The sequence below is a fragment of the Homo sapiens genome, chromosome 12 (genome assembly GCF_000001405.40).
Source record: "Homo sapiens chromosome 12, GRCh38.p14 Primary Assembly".
NCBI classification, from domain to species: domain Eukaryota; kingdom Metazoa; phylum Chordata; class Mammalia; order Primates; family Hominidae; genus Homo; species Homo sapiens.
The window spans coordinates 76,747,649-76,773,444 of NC_000012.12; the positions used below are offsets into that span (position 1 = coordinate 76,747,649).

Consider the following 25,796-nt stretch of genomic DNA (forward strand, 5'->3'; position numbering starts at 1 on the left):
TTATGAAAACGATTACAACATCAGGAAGTGTTGCTTGTTCCTCCAACACTCTTGTATAATATCTTCCATAGGCATTGCTGTCAGTTATCACCTTGAAGGCTCTGTGATAGACTACATGTGATGAAGATTCCTAGCAGATCTGAGTAATACACAATATGGGGTATATCAGACATCTTTTGCTTATTTCATACCCATAGCTACCAGTTGAGCTAGGATGACATCTGATAGCTGCACTAGGTATCTTTTGCTTTCTACCCTGAGGCTTCTCTGCTGTGCAAACACAGGAGTATGAGGGAGCAAACACTCCCTGGTGCAACTGCATATCAGCAGGGGATAAGATTATCCCTTCTGGCCAGGCACGGTGGCTCACGCCTGTAATCCCAGCACTTTGGGAGGCTGAGGTGGGCGGATCTCCTGAGGTTAGGAGTTTGAGACCAGCCTGACCAACATGGAGAAACCCTGTCTCTACTAAAAATACAAAATTAGCTGGACGTGGTGGCATATGCCTGTAATCCCAGCTACTTGGGAGGCTGAGGCTGGAGAATTGCTTGAACCCGGGAGGCAGAGGTTGCGGTGAGCCGAGATCGTGCCATTGCACTCCAGCCTGGGCAAAAAGAGCGAAACTCTGTCTCAAAAAAAAAAAAAAAAAAAAAAAAAAAAGATTATCCCTTCTTCTGTGTCTCAGCAAACAATTCTGAATTCTGGCTCCTCAGAAGCTCTCCAGCAGGTCCAAGCCCCCCACTGCCTAAAAAGGTAACCAGCTCAATAATGCACCTCTGTATTGGTTTTCTTGTCGCAGTTTACTTCTGGTCTCCTACCCCCAACTCTTGTTCCCTGGTGTTACCTCTCAAAATAAATAAATGAGAGGGAACCCTTGTTCAGGTTCTTTTTAGGCAACCCAAGCCAAGACAACAAAGTAAGATAGAGCCCCAAATGTGGTCGTATAAGGTTTTTCAAAGAAAGTAACACTTGAGTTAGGTCTTAAAGTTTCACCTAAGAAACTGCCCAGGTGGACAAGAAGAAAGGGTGTTCCAAGTAGAAATAATAGCATGGACAAAGGCAATGTAGCAGGAAAAGTCTTCGTAAATTCAGGGAATTTCAAGTGTTTCACGATGGAAGGAGCAATAGAGTCATTTACTTGCGGTGGCAGGGGATGTTGGAAATGTAAACAAGAGTGAGATACAGAAGATTTTATGTGGCATGCCAACTGGGACTTCTTTTTGTAAACAACAAGGAAACAATTACGTTAATCCCTTTACCAAACCTTCTGCCTAACCTGAAGCAATGTGAAAATGAGCTCACTTTGCAACATTGATGCATGAGTTGCTGTTACCTATGAACATTCATTTAAAGATGAATCTGTTCTCAGAGAGCTGATTGAAATTTCTTGAGAAAATGTGTGGTAACATAAAACAGACATTGTTGACTACCTATCCAAATCCATTTCTTCTCCGCCTTTCCAACCTTGCTAGGGAAAGCCCCAATTTTGTTTGTGCTTTACTGACTACATAGTCTTGTGCTCAAGGGCGAGGCTCCTTGGCCTCAGGTGATCATCTAAGCCAGAGGTTGGCAAACTTTTCCTGTAAAGGACCAGAGAGTAAATATATTAGGCTTTGTGAGCCATATGGCCTCTGTTCCAACTACTGAATTCTGCTGTTGTAGTGTAAAAGCATTCTTTAAGAATACCTAAACTTTCTTTATAGATATTGAACTTTGAATTTCATGTAATTTTCTTACATCACAAAGTAGTCTTTTTATTTTTTACCAACCCTTTAAGAATGTAAAACTCATAGCTCACAGGCCATACAAAAACAGGCAATGGGACAGATTTAACCCATCAGCCACCGTTTGCCAACCCCTCATATAAGGTAATCAGGGTGGTTTCATTTCCTTTGCCAAAGATTGGTTTTAGCATGGACGTATAGTTAAGTCCTGACAGATGTGATCTGCAGATGTTCCTTAGTTCAAAAAAGAGGCCTATGAGAAGGAACAGTCCTTTTATTGCCTTGGATATGGCTGTGTAATGCATAATGCCCGGAGCTGCTGCAGCCATCCTGAGGACATGCGGTTTCTCACCTTTAGCAGAGAATAGCAGAAAAGAGAAAGGAATCTGACTGAATCTCCATGACATTACTGAACTGTTGAATTAGCCTGCAGCATACTTGGATCTTTATGATATTATGAAACTGTTGAATTAACCTGACTCTAAACTTCTTGATGTGAGAAATAATAAAGACTTTTATCATGCAGGCCACTTTATTTAACTGTTACTTAAAGCTCAAAATATTCTGAGTGAGATAAAAGGACCCAGGAGAATACTATGCAAGCCATTAAATAGAATAAAATAGAATTATAAGTGCTGCCGTGCAAAGATATCTAAGATGACCAGGCGTGTTGGCTCACGTCTGTAATCCCAGCACTTTGGGAGGCTGAGGTGAAAGGATCACTTGAGTCCAGGAGTTTGAGACCAACCTGGCCAACATGGTGAAACTCTGTCTCTACTAAAAATACAAAAATTAGCTGGGTGTGGTGGCGCATGCCTGTAGTCCCAGCTACTTGGGAGGTCAAGGCTGCAATGAGCCATGATTATGTCACTGCACTCCAGTCTGAGTGACAGAGCAAGACTCTGTCACCAAAAAAAAAAAAGAAATCTATCTAAGACAAATTATTAAGTGAAGAAAGCAAGGTGTGGAACAGTTTGCACAGTTAACATATCATGTTTTATGGATATATATGTATATATCTTAAGATTTTGGAAAAACTATGATTAATCATGATGAATTTTTGGAAGTGTTGTTGGAATGAGTGGGGAGGGAAAAAGTAGTTTTATTTTAATTATCTGTGTTACCTTATATTCTTAAAAAATGTTAATGTATGTGCAGTTATTACTTCTGGAATTAAAAAACTGATGTAAAAAAATCAAAGAAATGAAAAAAAAGTTGACTTTCTAGATAGGTAGGTATTTTGAATAGGATCCTGTGGGAATAAGACAATGGGACAACTCATTGCTGATGGCCTAAAATGGAATAAGGCCCTAAATTCAGATAAATGATTTCACTTTTATTTTCTTTTCGTAGCGAAATATCTTTAGCCATGCCATCTTCTCGCTGAGTGAAGCTTAGAAAGGTAAAATTTAGAGTAGAAAAGCAAGGAATACCAGATACTGCAACTACAACAGTTTAGGTCCTCTTATCTCTCTGGGACACAGAATTTCTAATGGAGTGCCTTTGGGTGTTAGTGCCTCTCCTCGTCTCATTTACCATGTGCATTAATGATTTAGAGGTCGGAAAAAGGGGTTTTACTGATGGAAGCGCTTTCTAAGGTTTCACCAGTAAGACTTCACCTGTCTGGGAATGATTTAGGTAAGGAAGATAAATAGACTGTTAAGAGACCTGAGAAAAATAAAAGAAGACCTATAGTAGGAGGGATTTAGGATAAAAATCAGGAAGAAATTTCTGATAGTAAAAACTGTCACAGAACAAAGCAGAGGTTAATTGCAGAAACTGTGGCCTTTCATTATGACAATTAAAAAGGAAATTATTGTCTATCTAGGATGATATTATTATTTTTATTAGAATTATATAGATGAAAGAGACTTTGGGCCTGGTGCAGTCGCTCACGCCTGTAATTCCAGCACTTTGGGAGGCCAAGGCAGTGGATCACCCGAGGTCAGGAGTTTGAAACCAGCCCGGCTAATGTGGTGAAACCCCATCTCTACTAAAAATACAAAAAATAGCCAGGCATGGTGGCAGGCGTCTGTAATCCCAGCTACTAGGGAGGCTGAGGCATGAGAGTGGCTTGAACCTGGGAGGTGGAGGTTGCAGTGAGCCGAGATCGTGCCATTGCACTCCAGACTGGGGGACAGAGGAAGACCCTGTCTCAAAAAAAAAAAAAGAAAAGAAACTTTGGAGAGCACTTAGAACAAACCCTTCATTTTACAGATGACAACTGAAGTTGAAAAACTAAAGTGACAAAGATCATAAAGTTAATTAACTGTAAAACCAGAACCAGTATTTGGTTTCGTATAATAGACTTTCTTCTACACCATATTTGCTGAGAATTATTTTGTCTGAAGACAGTAGGATAAACTAGATGACTTCCCAAATTTCTTTATAGGTTAAGTACAGCAGTCAAAAACTAAAGCTATAATTTATCATAAGCAAGGATTTTTCATGGATTTTTCCTGTGGGGTCCATGGACCATGCTTAGGGAATCCCTGAACCCTCCGATACTGATGCAAATTTGTGTGTATGTATGTCTGGAAATCTGTAGGTCCCCATGCCTTCCATGATGAACCAATCTAACAGCAAGTATCCTAAAAGTTGAATTTGAGATTAATTTCAGAGACTAAAATGAGGAAAAATCATGTAATGAATGAAGTAACCAGTTATAGAAAGAATATACCTCAACAATGAGCGGCAGATGAGTTAAGGGGACTCTCAGGTTCAGTGACTTGGAAATATTCTCTATAGCACCTGATTCTATCAGCATATCAAAAGCTAAGCAGTTGTGGAGGAAAACTCACATGTTTGGGGATTTCTGAGATATCCAAGGGGCTAACTATACCACAGACATTTTCTACTTTAATATCTGTTCCAAAAAAAAAAAAAAAGACCCAGAAAATTTACCAATTCAAAAACCAACAAATGAAGGGGACATACCTTTAAGTTAAAAAATGTAACATAAAAAACAGGCACACAAAGACATACTATGAAACGGAGCAGAAGAGAACTAATGGGTTGCATCCTCACTCTGCCCTCTCATCCATTTACCCACTTCAAGCTATACTGATAAATATACCAAATTCTGAGATTCACATGAATATCCCCAAATTTGTAGATAAGCAAACTCAATGGGTCTTCGTACATGTTCCATTTTCCCACTTTACATTGCTAGAAGTGGTTGAGAGAAAGGCAGGTGAGATGGGGAAAGTGAACTATGGGACTGACTCTCATGAAAGTGAAGGCTGTAGGGATACTCATTAAGATGTGGAAACTGATGTCTGGGGATATTCCCTTATGTAAATGAGATATAATTCTCACCTAGATGGAGTGAACAACAACTCAGCAAAGAGAGCAGGATTCAGGTTTTCTAAGGCAGCCTGTGTCTTGCTTGTCTCAGCCAAGTTTATTTCTTCCGCACCCTTTTTCTTGAGGTACATAAAAGTAAACAGAAGATGAAATACTTTGTCCTCAAACAGAAACTAACAATGAAAACCAAAATGGGCTCAGATATGGGGGGAAGAAAGTTAAAAAGTCCTCCACACAGTATTACAACCAATGAAATGGCTATCAGAGCTATCTAAGCCTGATCAAGATGAAAATAAATAGCATGGCAACTATGCAAGCACAGAGAACTTATGTAACTTTCCTCAGGTCATAGAATTAAGATGACAGTGCACGCAGGTAGTGTGTCTAGACTGAGAAGTCTGGATAGAAAAATATTTTGACTTACTAAACTGTCTCCTACATAGGATAAATCAGTTGGGCCAACTACAGTTAGAACTCCAACTCTAAGTTTGATTCCAAGGTGTAAATAAGCCAATGAGTGGAGCCCCTGGTTCCTGATGAAATAACCTTAGGACATAAACCAGTCAGGATACATCTCTACAATGACGGACCAGGAGCCTGGGGAAAGGGTCAGGGACAGCCAGGCTGGGGAAGATTCTGGAAGTGGTCTGATAACAGTCTAGGCCTACAACAGTTACCATACATCCATACTGTACTAATGAAGTCCTGATTAAAAAAAAGTTTACTCTTATTTTTTTTTTTTTGAGATGGAGTCTCCCTCTGTGGTGCCATCTCAGCTCACTGCAACCCTCACCTCCTGGGTTCAAACAATTCTCCTGCCTCAGCTTCCTGAGTAGCTGGGACTACAGGTGCACGCCACCACGCCCGGCTAATTTTTGTATTTTTAGTAGAGATGGGGTTTCACCATATCGGCCAGGCTGGTCTCGAACTCCTGACCTTGTGATCCACCCACCTCGGCCTCCCAAAGTGCTGGGATTACCGGTGTGAGCCACCGTGCCTGGCCAAAAGTTTACTCTTAAGGTCCTCCTCAACAGGAGCCTTGGCAGGGGTCCAGCATAGCTGAGTCAAAGCACTCAACACCATAACTGTCGCCCTTTTCATTCCTAAGGTAAGTGTATTTGACATAAAAGTGTCCTGGTGTAGGATCAGGGGTGGGAGGAAAGTAAACGTCAGGTAGGTGGGGCCAGTTCCTTCTTATTCATAACAGCCAAATCAATGGCCTTTTTTTCTTGTAAAGACAAAATGCAATGAATACCCAGTTTGTTCCCAATGTGAATTTGGGTGAGTGATGTGTGGACATTAGTTCTGTAGTCCAGGGGTCATTCAGAAAAACATAAATGACCTTAAGTATATGTCAGCATAGAAGAGGCAAGCAGAGAATAGGGAGAGGTGTGGAAAAGATGTGGGAGGTCATTGAGAGCATGTTTTGACTTTTTCACATTTTCCCCTAGTTTATACAGAAGGCCATAGCATAAAGCTTCTCTCAACTGCTTTAATTGCCTGATGGAAGCAATCTAAAAGGTTTATTTTTAATAAAAATTCATTTACTTTCTCTTACAGCTATGCATTAATTATAGCCAATTATAAAAATAGTTTCCTGACATTGTTGAATTGTCATAAAAAAGCTAGTAAATAGTGTATTTGACATTGGATCAGAGGGTTAATCTCAAAGCAACAAAAGTATGTCTTTCTGTCCAGTCATGACACATACTAGCATGTATCAAATTCATGGCCTATTAGCTGTTGTCTACATATTTGATTTCAGGAATTGTTGATGCATCATTAGTTGTTTGCAAACCACCTAATGTGTAGATGTCTACAGACTCTCCACACATTAGAGATCCTACGTAGTCATTATGTTAACTCACTGTAAAGGGTTAACTCACCTACCTCTTAGGCTTCCTATGAGGATTAAATAAAATAATATACATGAAGCACATGACTAGCCAGGAGTTTGAGACCATCCTGGACAACATGGCAAAAACCCCTCTCTACAAAAATACAAAAAAACTTAGCCAGACATGGCTGCACACATATGTAATCCCAGCTACTTGGGAGGCTGAGGCATGAGAACTGTTTGAACCCAGGAGGTGGAGGTTGCAGTGAGCCAATATCACACCACTGCACTCCAGCCTGGGCAACAGAGCAAGAGTGTCTCAAAAAAAAAAAAAAAAAGTGGATTTAATATTTTAAATGTTCCTAGATTTGAGCAACCTTTTTTGGATCACATATGCCTTTGAAACTCCAATGAAAGCTGCAGACTTTCTCCCTTGAAAAAATGTGCATACACATATAAGAAGGGCTTTCACTGATTGCTGTCTCAGTTGGCAGGAGGAGAGGGTCTTAAGCTTGTTCAGTCAAGCCTTTCTGATTTTCTTCTCTTCCCTCCCCATGTATGGGTGCTCAGGGGGTCCCTTTGGGCTTACAGGTGCCCTGGAACATTGCAGACGGTGCGAGTCAAATGGCAAAGAGTAAAACCTAGTGGCACTGCTGCCATGACCACACCTTGAGTTCCTAAGGACTAGTAAAATGATGGAGTGCTAGTGCAAAAGAGAAATTTGCTCTCAAATACAGAATGAGGCAAGGCTCTGGGTGTTGAGAAGTCTCTGATTCATGAGGCTTCTGAGGAATCTTGCTCTTGCGGGGGGAATCTTGTTTTCTTCTCTGAGTGCATTTGCCATTTCCTGGAAGCAGGATGCATTTTCAGACAAGTTCACATCCAGAATCCATACTCTTGCTCTCTTCCTACTTTAAAATATATACATTGTTGCTTTAAATACTCATTATTTCTTAACACAAAATCCCATTATCTTCTGTTTCATAAGGATATTCACGGCTCTTGAAGGCTGACCCCAAGTTATTAGCACTGATTCTCTTCACAAATGGGAACCGCTGTCTTCAAATTTCCTGGAGAAAAGAAATTTGCACACACCTCCTCCTCCTCCCGCAACAAAAATATCAACAAAATAGGTCGCACATTCCTTTTAAGGAAGCAAAGTTTAGAAATAAACCAGTTCTACTAAGTCAGGTTAAACATTTTGATCTTGCTGGATTCTTATACACATATAACTTTGTAAATGATTTTGGAGGTTTCAGGTTTTACACAATATACTATATTGTTGTATAACAAATTATTTCAAAATTTAGCGTCTTAGAAAAATACTTATTTTCACATAGTTTTAGTGTGTCGGGAGACCAGGTGCCGTTTAAGTGGGTGGTCCTGGCTCAGTCTCTAATAAGCTCATGGTTGAGAGGTCAGGTGCGGTTGCAGCCATCTGAAGGCTTCACTGGAGCTGGTGGATCCGCTTTTAAGGCAGCTCACTTTCATACCTGACAAGCAGTGTTGGTTCTTGGCAGGAGGTCTCAGTTCCTTGCCAGGCAGACCTCTCCACAGGGCTGCTTGAATGTCTTCATGATATGGCAGCTGGCTTCCCCAACAGCTACGGATCCAAGAGAGAACAAGGTAGAAACCATGATGCCTTTTATGCTCTGTACTCAAAAGTCACACACTATTTTCCCGCAATGTCTCATTGGTTCCACAGGTCAGCTCTACTCGCGGTGGGAGGGTGCAAAGACGTGCATACCAGGAGACAAGAGTCACTGGAGGCCCTTTTAGATGTTGACTGTCACATGTGCTAAATTCTACATATTCCCTTTAATTCTCTGGTCTTGTTTTATCTATATCACTCTAAAAAATATGAGTGCAAAAAGATTGTCCTCACTTCACTTAAAATAGGATTGTAGAGTACTGTTAGGTGTGACTTGTCAAAATAGCAAAGCTTGTGCCTCATTCCAGCTCTAAGTAGTCAGTATTTATTTTGTCCACAATCCAATGAAACACAGAAATTTGTGAAATGGCTTATAGGAAAAACTTATAATTAAATAACTTGGTTAGAATTCAAAGTGTTATGATTATTTATTTAGTTGAGTCAAATAATATAAGTGACAGCTTAAAAAGTATCTCTGACTATGTTGTGGTGATTCCAACATTTACACAGAACAAATGTTTAATAAATAATTGTTAAATTTTAGAACTAATAAGTGAATACAGGGCCGGGCATGGCGGCTCACGCCTGTAATCCCAGCACTTTGGAAGGCCGAGGTGGGCGGATCACCTGAGGTCAGGAGTTCGAGACCAGCCTGGCCAACATGGCGAAACCCTGTCTCCACCAAAAAAATACAAAAATTAGCTAGGCATGGTGACATGCGCCTGTAATCCCAGCTACTCAGGGAGGCTGAGGCTGAGGCAGGAGAATCACTTGAACCCGGGAGGCGGAGGTTGCAGTGAGCCGAGATCGCGCCATTGCACTCCAGCCTGGGCAACAAGAGCGAAACTCCGTCTCGGAGGGGAGGGGGCATTTGGGGGAATGAATACAATAAAGTTGTAGGATGAAAAATCAACATACAAAAATCAGTTGTCTGGCTGCCCCACACTCTACTGACGCGGCCGCTGTCTCGGCTGCTGTGTGCCGCCTAGGTGTCTGGGTGATCCATGGGCAGCAGCAAGGGCCACGATGACAGACCATGACGAGGAGCAATGCAAGAGCTAGAGGCCCAGGAGTCCATCTACCCTAACTCCTTCATAGTATTATCATAAAATCCACCCGGCTTCACCATTACTGTGACATCTGAGGCTGGAGAAAATGATGAAACTGTCCAGACTACCCTCACGTTTACATACAGTGAAAAATACCCAGGTGAAGTTCTCCTTTATGAAATATTCCCTCCAGAAAATCTAGAAGATAATGATGTCTCAGACATTTTAAAATTACTAGCATTACAGGCTGAAGAAAATCTTGGTATGGTGATGATCTTTACTCTAGTGACAGCTGTGCAAGAAAAATTAAATGAAATAGTAGATCAGATAAAAACTAGAAGAGAAGAAAAGAAACAACAAGAAAAAGAAGCAGAAGAGGCTGAAAAGCAATTATTCCATGGCACTCCAATTACAATAGAGAATTTCTTAAATCGGAAGGCCAAGTTTGATGAAGAATTCTTGGAAATTAAAAAGAAAAGGATGAAAGAAGAAGAACAGCAGGAAAAAATAAATTAAGTTGGAAACAACTATTTGAAACAGATCATAATCTTGACACATCTGATATCCAGTTCTTGGAGCATGCTGGAAACAACGTGGAGGTAGATGAGTCTTTGTTCCAATAAATGGATGACTTGGAGCTGGAGGATGATGAGGATGATCCAGACTACAATCCTCCTGACCCAGACAGTGACTCAGCTGACTAATGGACATCCCCATCTGCAGAGAGGCTTGACTGCCACAGCATCTGTGGCTATGCTCAGAGGGTTTTGATTTTCCTTTCTTTTTTTCTAAGAAAAAATTATTTTCAGGATAATATTCTTCTGATAGTTTTCATCATTGAACTTAAAAAACTGACCTTAAAATTAAAAAAAAAAAATCAGTTTTGTTTGTACACACTAACAATGAACTATTTGAAAAGAAAAATTAAGAAAACAATCCCATTTATAGTAGCATCAAAAAGAATAAAATACTCAGGAATAAATTTAACCAAGGAGGCAAAAGGCTTGTATGCTGAAAACTACAAACCACTGATGAAAGAAATGAAAGAAAACACAAATGGAAAGACATCCTGTGTTCATGGATTGGAAGAATTAATATTTAAAAAGTGTCTATCCTACTGTAAGTGATCTATAGATTCAATGCAACCCCTATTCAGTGGTGTTTTATATAGAAATAGAAAAAAAAATCCTGAAATTCATATGGGACCACAAAAGACCCTGAATAAACGAAACACTCCTGAGAAAGAACACAGAAGCATCACACTTCCTGATTTTAAAATATATCTCAAACCTAAAGTAATTAAAACAGTATGGAACTGGCATAAAAACAGACATACAGGCCAATGGAACAGAATAAAGAGCCTCCAAATAAACCCACACATATACTGTCAACTGGTCTTTGATAAGGATGCTAAGAATACACAAAGGGGAAAGGACATTTTATTCAACAGATGGTGCTGGGAAAAGTGGATATCCATATGCAAAAAGGATGAAATTGGACCCTTATCTTGCACCATACAAAAAAGTCAGCTTTAAATAGATTAATGACTGAAATGTAAAATATAGAACTGTAAAACTGTAAAACACTTAGAAGAAAACATAGGTGAAAATTGCATGACATTGGGCTTGGCAACAATTTCTTGGATATTACAGAAAAAGCACAAGCAACAGAAGCAAAATTAGACAAGCAGAATTAAATTGAACTAAAAAGCTTCTGCACAGCAAAGGAAACAGTCAGCAAAGTGAGGAGGCAACCTACAGAATGGGAGAAAATATTTATAAATCATATATACGATAAGGGATTAATATCCAAATGATTCAATGAACTCCTACAACTGGAGAGCAAAAACCCCCAGAAAATCCAATTAAAAAATGGACAAAAGACTTAAGTAAAAATTTCTCCAAAGAAGAAATACAGATGACCAGGTATATGAAAAGATGCTCAACATCACTAATCATCACGGAAATGCAAATCAAAACTACAGTGAGATATCACTTCACACCTACTAGGATGGCTACTATGAAAAAAAAAACACAAAACATAAGTGTTAGCAAGCATGTGGAAAAACTGGAACCCTTGTACACTGTAATGTAAAATGGTTCAGCAGCTATGGAAAATGGTATGATGGGTCTTCAAAAAATTAAAAATAGACCTACCGTATGATCCAGCAATTCACTTCCGCTTATATATTCAAAAGAATTGAAATTGGGATCTCAAAGACATAAAACACACTCTCATGTTCATTGCAGCATTATCACAATAGCCAAGATATGGAAACAACCCAAATGTCTATTGATGGATGAATGGATAAAGTGTGGTATATACATACAATGGGATATTATTCAGCCTTTAAAAAGAAGGAAATTCTGCCATATGTGACAACATGGATGAACCCAGAGGACATTATGCTAAGTGAAATAAGCCACTCACTGAAGGCCAAAGGTGAAGTATCTAAAATAGTCAAACTGATAGAAACAGTAGAATGGTGGTTGCCAGGGCCAAAGGTAGAAGGATATGGGGAGGTGCTGTTCAATGGGTATAAAGTTTCAGTTATATAAGACGAATAAGGTCTAGAAATCTGCTGTACACCATTGTGCCTATGGTTAACAATACCCTATTGTGCACTTAAAAATTTAAGAGAGATCGGCCGGGCACCGTGGCTCACGCCTGTAATCCCAGCACTTTGGGAGGCCGAGGCGGGTGGATCACGAGGTCAGGAGATCGAGACCATCCTGGGTAACGGTGAAACCCTGTCTCTACTAAAAATACAAAAAATTAGCCGGGTGTGGTGGCGGGCGCCTGTAGTCCCAGCTACTCGGGAGGCTGAGGCAGGAGAATGGCGTGAACCTGGGAGACGGAGCTGGCAGTGAGCCGAGGTCGCACCACTGCACTTTAGCCTGGGCGACAGAGCAAGACTCCGTCTCAAAAAAAAAAAAAAAAAGAAATTTAAGAGAGATCTTGCGTCAGGTGTTCTCACCACAAAAAAACCTTTTTTTTTTTTTTTTTTTTTTTTTTAAGACAGAGTCTTGCTCTGTCGCCCAGGCTGGAATGCAGTGGCGTGATCTCAGCTCACTGCACATGCCGCTCCCGGGTTCACGCCGTTCTCCTGCCTCAGCCTCCCGAGTAGCTGGGACTACAGGCGCCAGCCACCATGCCCGGCTAATTTTTTGTATTTTTAGTAGACATGGGGTTTCACCGTGTTAGCTAGGATGGTCTCGATCTCCTGACCTCGTGATCCACCCGCCTCGGCCTCCCAAAGTGCTGGGATTACAGGCGTGAGCCACCGTGCCCGGCCCACAATAAAAAAAATTAAATGGACCAAGTAATAATTCATTGAGGATAATAACAACAGAAGAAACGTGGTAGAGGCAAAGAGTAGTAGATGGGGAAAATTCAGGAGGCTTCCAGATGATTCTGCTACCACCTAGTTTTGTAACTTTAAGAGAGTTTCTTAAATTCCCCATCATTTCCTTTTTTGTGAAATGACTAAATCTGGATAATCTCTATGCTGTCTTTAGCTCCAGTAGTGTCTGAAGTTACATATGAAACTATATTTATACAACAATGCCCCATGCCTTCCAATCTGTTTGCTTCTAAATCCATTTCACAATTATTCTCTAACAAGGTCTATTTTTCTCTTTGAATTTTATTCTTTTTTAGCCACTATTCTGCATTCCTCCATAATTCTATGCCATTCTTTTGCCAGTCTATCCAATCAGTGTACTTTCTTAGCTGTCTCCTTAGTCCCCTGAATATATTTTCTCAATTTGAGCTATAGATAAGAACTCTACAGTTATCAAGATGGACTCTGATCATATCTAAAGGGTTTGCTTCAAGATTCAACTTCAACATGTTTTCCTAAGCATGCCTGCTTCTGCTCTTGATCTCTTTCTTCAGTTCTTCATTTAATAACTATTTATTTTAGTGCTCCAGCAGTAAGCAAGACAGACATGGACCCTGGTTATGTTGTTCCAACTTTTCGGCTGCTTTTAGTATTTTCCTTATATTTGAATTGTGGAATTCTCAGGAGTAAAAATATCCACAGAGCCAGGCAGGTAATGAGAACGAGTAAAGCAGGCCATAGACCTGGTAGAGACTGAGCAAGAAGGTCAAGATGGCTTGTTTGCCAGATGAACTAGAACTCTAGATTTTAAAGTGAACTCTGATTTACTGATTTTCGCAGGGAAGGCTAAACATTTCTTTTATGAATACTCCACATCATATACCTGTACCAATATTCCTAATACATGGGTACCTGAAACATTTTCTCCAGTTTTCCATGCCTAGTTTCTTTACACTCTCACTTCATTCAATGCTTTATTAATATTTATGCCACTTAACTTTTTCAGTCGGTGTCCTTTATTTACTCTAATCTTCTATTTCTAGTCAATGCAAGACATAAAGGTAAGGAAGGGCAAGATTCAAAATTGAGATTTTTGGCCGGGCGCAGTGGCTCACGCCTGTAATCCCAAGATTTTGGGAGGCCGAGGTGGGTGGATCACGAGGTCAGGAGTTCGAGACCAGCCTGACCAACATGGTGAAACCCCATCCCTACTAAAAATACAAAAATTAGCAGGGCATGGTGGCGCGCCCTTAATCCCAGCTACTCAGGAGGCTGAGGCAGGAGAATCGCTTGAATCTGGGAGGCAGAGGTTGCAGTGACCTGAGATCTCGCCACTGCACTCCAGCCTGGGCCGCAGAGCAAGAAAGACTCCGTCTCAAAAAAAAAAAAAAAAAAAAAATTGAGATTTTTGGCTGGGTGCGGTGGCTCACGCCTGTAATCCTAGCAATTTAGGAGGCAGACGCGGGTGGATCACCTGAGGCCGGCAGTTCCAGACCATCCTGACCAACATGGAGAAACCCTGTCTCTACTAAAAATACAAAATTAGCCGGGCATGGTGGCGCATGTCTGTAATCCCAGCTACTTGGGAGGCTGAGGCAGGAGAATCGCTTGAACCTGGGAGGTGGTGGTTGCAGTGAGCCGAGATCGAGCCATTGCACTCCAGCCTGGGCATGAGTGAAACTCAGTCTCAAAAAAAAAAAAAAAATTGAGATTTTTGAGTGAAAATGACTTATGTCCATGTTAACATATGACTGAAAACAATTCGATGCTCCAAGGGCCGACCCTGAGACTATCTAGCTGTAAAAGATGACTCCTAGTTTGGGCCAGGACGAACAGAATGAAAATCAGCTCGGACTGAAATGAGAAAAAGTAGTTGTGCTGGGAGGACAGATACAGAAAAAGCCAGCAGCAAAGTTAACTGAGAAACTTCTTTCTCCCACAGCCGTGCAGTAGCTATGACACGCCATATTCACCCCTCTTTGAGTAACTGCTGCTCTTACTAGTGTTGCTACTTTATTACTGGAGGTACCTAATTACTAAATTGCTGTATCCTCAAGACAGCATCCAATCCCTCGTAAATCCCAGCTTTTCTTCATGCCGCCACGGAAACGGCGTCCCATGCAGAACTGATTCTGGCTCTCCTTAGACCCTCCTCAGACTCCTTTGGCGGGAAACTAATCTTACAAAGGAGGCTTCCTCTTTCCTTTTCCAGTGGCATTCCAAGCTTCCTTTGGAGTGCCCTCCCTCCTGATTTACAAATTGGCCTGACGTTATCGGAGTACAGGCTTTTTCCTGGTGGTTTCTGGCCTAACAGGAGACAGATTAGTAAGTACCAGGATCTCTAATAGGTCAACTTTCATGATCTCTGCTAAATTCTCAGCTGTTTAGACTTACAATTTTTAACAGCTAAAAGGAAAGACAAATGCTATCTAAAACTGTCCCATCAGCCCATTTACAGGGAGCACCTCCCCCATACCGCCCTAAAATCCTTTAAAAAATGGCTTTAGTCATTTTATCTGCCTTGCATTTAAGCGAATTCAGTTTAAGTGGCTTCAGTTCTGAATTCCTGGATTATATCGAAATGTTGCAGATGGCGGTGTGTGGGCTTTGAGCTCGTAAATTTTTTGTGTGGTACTAATTCAAGACGATTGAGAGCAGGTTGGGATCATTTTAAAAAGAGTTCTCGGCAGGGTGTGGTGACTCAAGCCTGTAATCCCAGCACTTTGGGAGGCCGAGGCGGGCGGATCGCTTAAGGTCAGGAGTTCGAGACTAGCCTGGCCAACATGGTGAAAACCCGTCTCTACTAAAAATACAAAAATTAGCCGGGCGTGGTGGCGTGCACCTGTAATTCCAGCTACTCGGGAGGCTGAGGCAGGAGAATCGCTTGAACCGGGAGGCAGAGGTTGCAGTGAGCTGAGATCGCGCCATTGCACTCCCGCCTGGGCGGCAAGAGCAAAACTCTGTCTCATTAAAAAAAAAAAAAAAAAAAAAAAAAAAAAAAAAAGGGTTCTCTAGTAGGAAGTCCCGAGTTGTATCCATGTTTTTCCGGGCGTCCCCCGGAGGGACAGGTTGCGGGTGACCTTTTCAAGTGTGGAGGAAAGGGAAGCTGCTTTTGTCTTCAGGAATGATGCAGGTCTCGACTCAAGCCTGACGGGCCCAAACCTCCCTGGAGCTGGCTGACGACTCTGCCCGAGTTCCTGAAGAGGGGTCCCGGGGGTCCCGGAGCGGAAGTGGGAGCGCGTGGGCGTGGGCTCCTCGGCTGCCTGGGGCTCCAGACTTGTGCTGCGTGCGGCTCCGGAGCTCTGTTCTCGCTCCTGAGCAGCTGCTAGGTTTCCCAAGCGACTGTCTCAACCGCCCGGCCGCCTCCCCCGGGCAGCCAGAGCTTCACATCTACCTCCAGCCGGGACCCGCCCCCGAGCCGCGGGGCCCACGCCCAGAGCCCTCCGCCGTCCCCAGCGCAGTGCAGCAGAGCGCGATCCAGTCTGGGGCCGGGCCGCGCTTCCGCGCACGCGCGGAGAAACCCGCGCCCTCCGAGGGGGGAGGGGACAGAGGGGGCGTCACGGGGGCAGGAGAAGAAGGAGGAGGAGGCCCGCGTCGCCTCCGGCGGGGCTCGCGCTCGCCCCGCGCTCGCCCTCCGCCTCGCCCGAGCCCCGGGAGGGTGAAACGCTTTCTCCCAGCATGCAGCGGGAGGAGGGATTTAACACCAAGATGGCGGACGGCCCGGATGAGTACGATACCGAAGCGGGCTGTGTGCCCCTTCTCCACCCAGAGGTGAGGAACCGTGCTGAGTGGATTCCTTGCCCTGCGGCCCTCCAGCCTTTCTTCCCCGGACTCGCCGAGGGCGGCGGCCGACGTGTGTGGGGTAGTGGGACGTGCCGAAGTTGGGGAGGGTGGGGAGGCGAATCCAGGCCTGAGCGCGGCTGCGAGCGGATAACGGGGGAGGAGATAGCGGGGCGGGCCCGACCGGGGCGGGCTCTGGGACGCAGTCCCTGGCTGTGCCTGGAGGACAGAGGTGGAGGTGTTGATGGTTCTGCTGTGTCGCCGCGCTGCGTTTGAGAGCAGAGGCGGAGGGGCCTGGTGTGGTTTTTGAACCGCAGCTTAGACCCTAGTCTTGCTCCAAGCCTCTTGGGGCCAGGTGGAAGCGCGTCTGGTTTTGATTTCTTTTTCCTTCGCCAGGGTGAATGACGGTATCTATTGCTTCCTTTTAGTCCACTGTGAGGGGACAGTTTCATGGGCATAGTGATGTCCTTCCAGGTAATGCCATGGGTAGCACCTCGGGCACCTTGTGTCGGGCGTCCTTTTTTGAGCATTTGTCCTTAAGCGATTAAGAAGAGAGGTAAAAACTTTTGGGAATAGACTTACACTCACATTAGCTTGTCAAAGTACCGTTTTTCTAGGAGCTAGGGGTGGACAGTGCAACACGTTTCCCATCACAACATGAGTGTCTTCCCATGTAAGTAAACAGTGCCCCGCTCCACAGTCAGTCAGTCTGTGCTTGTTTACCTCCGAGTTTGTAGCTGAGCTAGTGCTAGTTAAGGCTTGGAAGCAATTCTTGATGCATTCTGATTTTTAGTGATCCACAGTGATGTCTGTATGCGGCAGCGGCACAGTTTGCTGAAGAACTCGGGTAGTTTTCATGAGGTTAAAAGATGACAGTCGTGTTGTAGGATGAACAAACATGGAAGTCTCTACCTGGTTACTTTGCAATGGAGTGATTCTGTTTTTTTCTGGATTTGGGTTTGTACCATGCCACTAGTTTTTGTTAAAAAGTGAATAATGACAACCATCCTTTTATGTTGCATGTTAACACTCAACCACCCTCTCATTCGTCACTTTGGTTTATCAAAAACACATGGGACAGTTCCTTCGGAATATATACCTGTGCCAGTCTCAGTAGAAAAGGCTACTCTGGGTTTCTGATAAACAGAACTATACAGTAAGACTAAACACTTGTCTGACCAAAGTGGTAACATTTTCAGAACTGGCATTGTAGACATCTCTTTTGGTTCACTTAGGCCCTAACATACGTCAGGAAATAGACAAAGTAGTTTTCAGATGTTGCCTTGAAAATGTTGCTAAGTGATTTCTATTCATCTGTTCCTGTGAAAGTATTCGTGAAAGTATTTCAAACACTTAAGTGTTTATCCAGTTTATTTTTTTGAGACGGGGTTTCTCCCTGTCCCCCAGGCAGGAGTGCACTGACACGATGACAGCTCACTGCAGCCTCTACCTCCAGGGCTCAAGTGATCCTCTCCCCTCAGCCTCCTGAGTAGCTGTGACCACAGGCTCGCGCCACCATACCCGGCTGATTTTTTTATTATTTGTAGAAGAAGAGGTCTCCCTATGTTGTCTAGGCTGGTCTTGAACTCTTGAACTCAAGTGGTCCTCTCACCTTAGCTACTTAAAGTGCTGGGATTACAGGCATGAGCCACCATGCCAGGCCTATCTTACGTATTTTAGCATACTGTTCTTCATAAACCTTTGCTTTGTAATATAGTACTGTTGTTTGCTACTTTAAGAATAATTTTAACTGGCAACAAATCCAGATTATTTGGTGTAGTAGAATGGCCAGTATAGGCTTGAAATTTAGCTACCGATCTTCAGGTTGCCATTCGATAGATAGGATATTACTAGAAAGTCAACCTCCTCATCATTGATAGTGGGAATTGGCATACATAATATATACCGTTCCTTTTTACCCAAGAAGCACAAGGTCTGATTATTTTAATACTTTGGATGGACCTTAAGCTTGTACTACATGGCTGAGGTCTTTCTGCATTTTCTGTGGTTAGTGTGTGCAGCTGGTGCAGACCTGGGGTAGTTCTGCTGCCTCCTAGCAGTGTGTTCTTGGGCAAGCTATGAATACGTCTCTGAGTTCTAGTTTCATCATTTATAATGGATAAAAATAATAGTTAATAAGCTATAGCGAGGATTAACTGAGATAATATGTTTTTGTTGTTAAAATAAGCAGTGTTTTCAGTCTCCTTTGGGAAGAAACCCATTCTCTGTCTTGGTAAGTAATGAAATAATAGTACTTTTAACCTCTTTTTGGAGAGAACATAGACTTTGGGTCAGACAGACTTGGATTCTAATTCTGGAAATTCGGTAACTAGCTAAGTGACCTGAGACAAGTGCTTAATTTCTTTAAGCTTCAGTTGTAATCAGAAAATGGAGATCCTGGCTGGGCTCGGAGGCTCACACCTGTAGTCCCAGCACTTTGGGAAGCCGAGGTGAGAGAATCACTTGAGCCCAGGAGTTCGAGACCATCCTGGGCAACATGGCAAAACTCTGTGTCTACAGAAAATACAAAAATTAGCTGAGCATGGTGGTACACGCCTGTAGTCCCAGCTAATCGGATGCTGAGGTGGGAGGATTGCTTGAGCCTGGAAGGTTGAGGCTGCAGTGAGCCATGATCGAGCAGCTGTACTCCATCCTGGGTGACAGAGCAAGATTATGTCTCAAAAAAAAAAAAAAAAGAAAAGAAAAGAAAATGGAGATGCTGCCTAGTTTACTTGGCTGTAAGGGATTAAGTGAGGCTATATGTTGAGGGTCAAGAACTGGCACATTGTAGGTGCTCAGTTAATGTTACTTCTTTTTTCTCTACCAGAAGAAAGGGAAGTGTTACACATTTATTTTGGTTTTGGTGACTGATTTAAAACTTATGTGGGTTTTAATTTAGTGGAATAGGATCTTGCAGGAACAAATTTCATTTCACTTTTTATCTTCCAATTTAATACTCTCACACAAAAACAGTTTTTCACTTTAGTATTTGTTAAGCAGATGAATTATTTGTGGGTAAAGAAATGAGCATTGCTTAAATCTCTTATTAGTATGCAAACTGCCCACTGTTAAAACCTTTCTTAGAGGATTATACAATTAGATAAACGCCTTTTTAGAGGTATTTTAGGTAAGATAATCTTACTTTTTAATGAATTAAATCATCCACTCATTTAGTTGGTCATTTAAACATTTGTTTGTCATGTTTGGGTAAGGAATTGTGCTGGAGTCTGTGTGAGACTTCAGGATATTTTTGGTGTTCAGTGAGAGGCAGTGTAGAATACTGGTTAAGAGCCAAAGTTGGCTGGGCGTGGTGGCTCACGCCTGTAATCCCAGGGTTTAGGGAGGCCGAGGCGGGCGGATCACCTGAGGTTCGGAGTTCAAGACCAACCTGACCAACATGGAGAAACCTTGTCTCTATTAAAAATACAAAATTAGCCATGCGTGGTGGCACATGCCTATAATCCCAGCTCCTCAGGAGGCTGAGGCAGGAGAATTGCTTGAACCCGGGAGGTGGAGGTTGCAGTGAGCCGAGATTGCACTCCAGCCTGGGCAACAAGAGCAAAACTCTCTTAAAAAAAAAAAAAATCCAAAGCTGTGGTGACAAACTGAAAATGTAGCTTCTGCAGCTTACTGTTATCATGGTCAAAGTACATTTTTCTCATTTGTAAAGTTGGGTTAATAGTGACACCTTTTACAGTTATTGTGAATATTAACTAGGCTAATGTTTATAAAGCAGTTTTCATAGACCTAGGCACATAGGCTGCCAAGCAAATTGTACCTTCTGAAGGCCCTGGCATATAGTGAATACTGAAAGGGAAGCTGCTGTTACTTTGTTTTCTTTTGAAATAGGTGATTATTTGTTTTATTGAAATGAAAGAAATTAAAGGCTCTTTGGATAAAGAAGAACTGATGATCAAGGGATTAGGGTACTAGTTCTAGCTCAGTGACCTTGAGCTAGTAGGTATTTAACTGGTCTCAGTTTTGTTGCTTTTAAGATAAAGTAGCTAGACTAGATGACCTCTAAGATTTCTTCAGACTCAAGTGTTCTGGTTTTAAATTGTGATTTTTCAATATAATCAACTTGAGCATCTGTCTACTAGGTACGTAGCATTGTGTTAGGTTATATGGGTTAAAATAACATAAAAAAGATAGCATATGTTTTCCAGAAGGTAAATAACTAGTTGGGAAGTTGTAGGCACGTGAAACACTGGACGATTCAAATAAGTACTGAATTAAGTAATGTAGCTTGTAAGTGGTGTCAGATTCCTGTCATTTAGAGTGGTTAGAAGAAAGGCTTCCGTAGAGGGACAGAGACCATATGTTGGTCTACTGGTCCAGCAGACTAGCCATGACCAGCTTCCATTTTACCTACTAGTACATCCTCAGTAAGTCATCTCAGCTCTTTGATAGAATGAGATCACAATATCCCCTTCTGCCACAGTATCACAGGGGCTATTTCAGAACCATCTGACTCAGAGCTTTGAACTGGATTGCCTAGATTATCTAGGGCTTTCATCTCTTTCTTTCTTCCTTTTTTCTCTATTTCAAAACTTCTGCTATTGCCTTTTTTTCTCATTTTCGTCTCTCTTTTTATGGTAACGTTTTTTATTTCACATTCATTTTATTATTTCTGATGATTTCTGTTTGAATATTAAATCAAACTATTGCTATTATCTACTGTCCTCACAGATTTCATAAAATCTACTTTTTGAAGCTTTTGGTTTTTTGCTTTAGTTTGAGATGGAGTTGCGCTCTTGTTGCCCAGGCTGAAGTGCAATGACGTGATCTCGGCTTACTGCAACCTCAGCCTCCTGCGTTCAAGCGATTCTCCTGCATCAGCCTCCCGAGTAGCTGGGATTACAGGTGCCTGCCACCACACGTGGCTAATTTTTTGTATTTCTAGTAGAGATGGGGTTTCACCATGTTGGCCAGGCTGGTCTGGAACGCCTGACCTCAGGTGATCCACCCGCCTCGGCCTCCCAAACTGCTGGGGTTACAGGCATGAGCCACCATGCTCGGCCATGAAGCTGTTCTTTAGTGAAAAGAATTTTGCCATTTTCTATTACTTTTTGCCCTATTATGTATATATTATATGTGTGTGTGTATATATATGTATTTGTACACATATAAGGTAATTCATTTGCTTTCAGAAAGCAGATACAAAATGACTTTGAAAGTTGTTTTTCTTCCCATAGGTTACCTGCAACTCTTTTCCTTCAAAGCACTTCTTTATGCAGTCACTAGGATTTGATGCCTTTTAAAAAATTCAGCAAAAATGTTATAGGTCATATAATAATAATCTAGATTTTAAAATAATGTATATTTTAAAATACTATATATTAAGCTTAGTAACTACTATGCTTAGTATAGTGACCACTGTTAAGCCCAGTAACCACTGAGCATTACTATTAAGCTTAGTAATCACTGAGTCAATAGATATAAAATTAAAATGTGATTAATTGGTGAGACTTCATGGATTGTGCTCAAAGCCAGAGTTGAAAATTACTGACCAAAAAATTGTTCTGGTTTTGAGAAATGTCATTTTCCTGATTCGGCTTGTTTTATTTTGTTCATTATTTTTATTTAATTTGGGAGGATCTCAAAAGTATTTATTAAGAGTGGACTGTGGAGTTGGTGGATATAAGAGTATATAGGTTAAAAGTGAGCAATGGTGTTAGGATTCAAATCTCAATTCTGCTCACTAGCTTGCAATCCTGGGCACGTTATTGAACTCTGCATCCCAATTTTCCAAACTAAAATGGGGGTATAATAACACCTACTTTATGAGGCTGTTGTGAGGATTAAGTGAGATAATACATGTGAAGTTCTGTGTCTGGCACTTAGTAAACAACAATAAGTGTTGGCTATTAATATTGTGGTAAAAAGTAGTACCTCAAATTGATAAACAATTGTAGTATGCATATATTAGAGTGGCTAAAATAATTAGTATTGGTTGTCTCTGGGGATTGAAGAGAAGATGGGCAGAGGACTTCTTATTATAAGCCCTTTTGCCCTATTTGATGTTTTTAAAGACGTGTGCTTTGCTACAAGGGAGTGTTTATTGAGAATCCAAGTATGGTCTTGACCCTTTGCTAGGCTCCGAAGTAATAACATTTACAAAATAACACATTGTAAAATGATGTAAGATTAACTGTAGACCTTCAGATACCTCAGGATAGATGAGGGAGAGTGTGTCTGTGTGTATTTTTTAAAATTAGAAATGATTCGTGGTCCTCCTTTCCTCCTAGAGAGGGTTGTAAGGGTATGTTAAGGTAGTCAGCATTGAACAGTTAAGGTGTCTTAAAATGCAGTGTGCTGGCCGGGCTTGGTGGCTTACGCCTGTAATTGCGGCACTTTGGGAGGCTGAGGCTGGCAGATCTCCTGAGGTCGGGAGTTCGAGACCAGCCTGACCAACATGGAGAAACCCCGTCTCTACTAAAAATAAAAAATTAGCCGGGCATGGGGGTGCATGCCTGTAATCCCAGCTACTCGGGAGGCTGAGGCAGGAGAATCGCTTGAACCTGGGAGGCAGAGGTTGTGAGCTAAGATCGTGCCATCCTGCCTGGGCAATGAGCAAAACTCCATCTCAAAAAAAAAAAAAAAAAAAAATGCAGTTTGCTTTTAACAGAACCCACAACAATTACATAATCCGAAAAGATGTTTCACTATTAAGGTTATGTAAAATTCTCTTTCAGCGCATTATCTGATTATAGTATTATTTTATGAATAGATTTTATTACAGATGGATAATTTAAGAGTAAAATCAAATATTTTAATTTTGGAATTTGAAAAATAATGATTCAAGACAATATTATATTTATAAAATACATAAAATTTGACCCAGTGGAATAATTATTTAGACCTAGGATAAAATATCTTCTTTTAAAATTTTCTTAAAGTGGAGCCACAGGCAGCTAATTTGAAAGTACAGTGAAACTTCAGCCTTCTGTGAATGAGATACTGTGAACTTAGTATCCTGAGTTACAGAGAATTAAACAATACTTTTTTGTTTTTGTTTCAATTCCTGTTGCAAATTTGCCAAATTATTTTCTAGGGTTAATACATACTAAACATAATAGAATCTTTCTTTGATAAATTAGAACATTATAGTGTCCTAGGATCATCTTTCTGATTATCGGTGATACTGTTAGGGATATGAAGATTATAACATTAACAGTACCTGAGACATTTTTTGTGTATATATGTCAGATGGCTTGCATTTTTATCAGTTGTTGTATTCTAGAAAAAAATGAAGTGAAAAATTACTTCTGATTGAGATGTTAGTATACCCTACCCTTGTTTAGTTTTTAAGAATAATTTTTCAATTATGAATACTCATTAATTTTTGAAGGATTTAATGAGGTATGAACAAAACTGGTGGTTACCAAAACTATCCCTATTCTCATGAAAAAAAAAAAAGTTCTTTGAGTTGAAGACAGAAGTTTCTTGTTGTGTAAGGATCCTCTTGTTGCAGATGTCAACAATCTTGTCTGAAACATAGTTGGGCAAAAAGGGGAATTTACTGTCTCAGATAACCTAAACTCAGGATGCAAGGATGCAGTTGAAATCAAACACAACTGGAACCTGAGCTGAGAATGCCACCAAAACTCTCTTATCTCTCCTCCTCTCTCCCTTTCAGCTTCATTTTCTCCAAATGCAGACCAGCTTCTTTCTTCCATGTAGCCGGGACATAGATGCCAGCAAATTATAAGTATGAGCTAGGCACTATCCTAAACAATTTTGCATGTATATTCATTCATTTAATCCTCACAGCTTTTTATACCTATTTTACAAATGAGGAAACAGAGGTATAGAGAGGTTAAGTAGTAATCCAGGTTGCCTGTTTTTATAGCACAATACAGTATGATAGAGATGATAGAGTTGGATTTGCTAGGCACTAGCTAGCTGTGGTTACAAATGGTCTCATTTGTGTTTTGTTTTTGAATTTTTTGAACAGACTTAATTTTTTAAGAGCAGTTTTATATTGGTAGCAAAATTGAGCAGAAAGTACGAAGAGTTCCCATATGCTCCCTGCCTGTACACATGCATAACCTCCCTCAGTATGGACATTCTACACTAGCGTGGTACACTTGTTATGGTAGATGAACCTACATTGATGCATCATTATCACCCAAAGGCCATAGTTTACATTAGGGCTCACTCTTCGTGTTGTGTATTCTATGGTTCTTAACACTTGTTTTTTTTTTTTTTTTTTGAGACGGAGTCTAGCTTTGTCGCCAGGCTGGAGTGCAGTGATACAATCTCAGCTCACTACAACCTCTGCCTCCCAGGTTCAAGCAGTTCTTCTGCCTCAGCCTCCTGAGTAGCTGGGATTACAAGCACGTGCCACCATGCCCAGCTAACTTTTGTATTTTTTTTTTTTTTTTTAGTAGAGACAGGGTTTCACTATGTTACCCAGGATGGTCTCAATCTCCTGACCTCGTGATCCACCCGCCTCGGCCTCCCAAAGTGCTGGGATTACAGGCGTGAGCCACCGCGCCCGGCCTTAACGCTTGTTTTTGTTTCTTTGGGAGAGGGATGGAGTTTTGCTCTTGTTGCCCAGGCTGGAGTGCAATGGCGTGATTCTTGGCTCACTGCAACTTCGCCTCCTGGGTTCAAGCAATTCTCCTGCCTCAGCCTCCCTCCCGAGTACCTCTACAAGCACGTGCCACCACGCCCTGCTCATTTTTTGTATTTTTAGTAGAGACGGGATTTCACCATGTTGGCCAGGCTGGTCTTGAACTCCTGACCTCAGGTGATCTGTCTGCCTCGACGTCTCAAAGTACTGGGCTTACAGGTGTCAGCCACTGCACCCGGCGAGGTTCTTAACACTTGTAAGAGTAATGTGTGTCCGCCATTATGTTGTCATGTAGAATAGTTCCATGGCCTTAAAAATCTTTGTTCTGCCTGTTCATATGTCCTTCCCACCAATCCCTGATTTTTTTTACTGTCTCTTTAGTTTTGTTTTTTCCAGAGTATCTTATAGTTGGAATCATGCAGTATGTTGCCTTTTGGATTGGCTTCTTTGACTTAGTAATATTCATTTAAAGTTCCTCCATGTCTTTTCATGGCTTCATAGCTCGTTTCTTTTTAGTGCTGAATAATA

General features: G+C 41.6%; 1 protein-coding gene and 1 pseudogene across 2 annotated transcripts in view, besides 6 other annotated features; both read left to right on the forward strand.

The window, feature by feature from the left end:
* On the forward strand, positions 9,466-10,445 carry RWDD1P3 (RWD domain containing 1 pseudogene 3; annotated as a pseudogene).
* Positions 15,965-16,064: an enhancer, noted in NCBI's record as "active region_6679". NCBI's record gives its function as "activates an Ori minimal core promoter by ATAC-STARR-seq in GM12878 lymphoblastoid cells {active_cell/tissue: GM12878}" and the evidence as "EXISTENCE:reporter gene assay evidence [ECO:0000049][PMID:35858748]".
* Positions 16,205-16,614: a silencer, noted in NCBI's record as "silent region_4672". NCBI's record gives its function as "represses an Ori minimal core promoter by ATAC-STARR-seq in GM12878 lymphoblastoid cells {active_cell/tissue: GM12878}" and the evidence as "EXISTENCE:reporter gene assay evidence [ECO:0000049][PMID:35858748]".
* Positions 16,205-16,655: a biological region, named in NCBI's record as "Sharpr-MPRA regulatory region 20".
* Positions 16,361-16,655: an enhancer, noted in NCBI's record as "tiled region #20; HepG2 Activating non-DNase unmatched - State 1:Tss, and K562 Activating non-DNase unmatched - State 1:Tss". NCBI's record gives its function as "activates a minimal TATA promoter and a strong SV40 promoter by Sharpr-MPRA in HepG2 and K562 cells {active_cell/tissue: HepG2 | K562}" and the evidence as "EXISTENCE:reporter gene assay evidence [ECO:0000049][PMID:27701403]".
* Positions 16,467-25,796, forward strand: part of ZDHHC17 (zDHHC palmitoyltransferase 17) — an 89,587-nt gene continuing 80,257 nt past the window's right edge. Inside the window, exon 1 of one of the 2 annotated variants that reach the window (NM_015336.4) lies at positions 16,467-16,681. In NM_015336.4, coding sequence (NP_056151.2) covers positions 16,589-16,681 — 93 coding nt within the window. In that variant the 5' untranslated portion in view covers positions 16,467-16,588. The remainder of the gene's footprint in view (positions 16,682-25,796) is intronic. The other variant, NM_001359626.1, reaches the window with a different exon arrangement.
* Positions 16,631-17,473: an enhancer, noted in NCBI's record as "H3K27ac-H3K4me1 hESC enhancer chr12:77158059-77158901 (GRCh37/hg19 assembly coordinates)". NCBI's record gives its function as "activates a minimal SCP1, AML or CMV promoter by ChIP-STARR-seq in primed H9 embryonic stem cells {active_cell/tissue: H9 hESC(primed)}" and the evidence as "EXISTENCE:reporter gene assay evidence [ECO:0000049][PMID:30033119]".
* Positions 16,665-16,814: an enhancer, noted in NCBI's record as "active region_6680". NCBI's record gives its function as "activates an Ori minimal core promoter by ATAC-STARR-seq in GM12878 lymphoblastoid cells {active_cell/tissue: GM12878}" and the evidence as "EXISTENCE:reporter gene assay evidence [ECO:0000049][PMID:35858748]".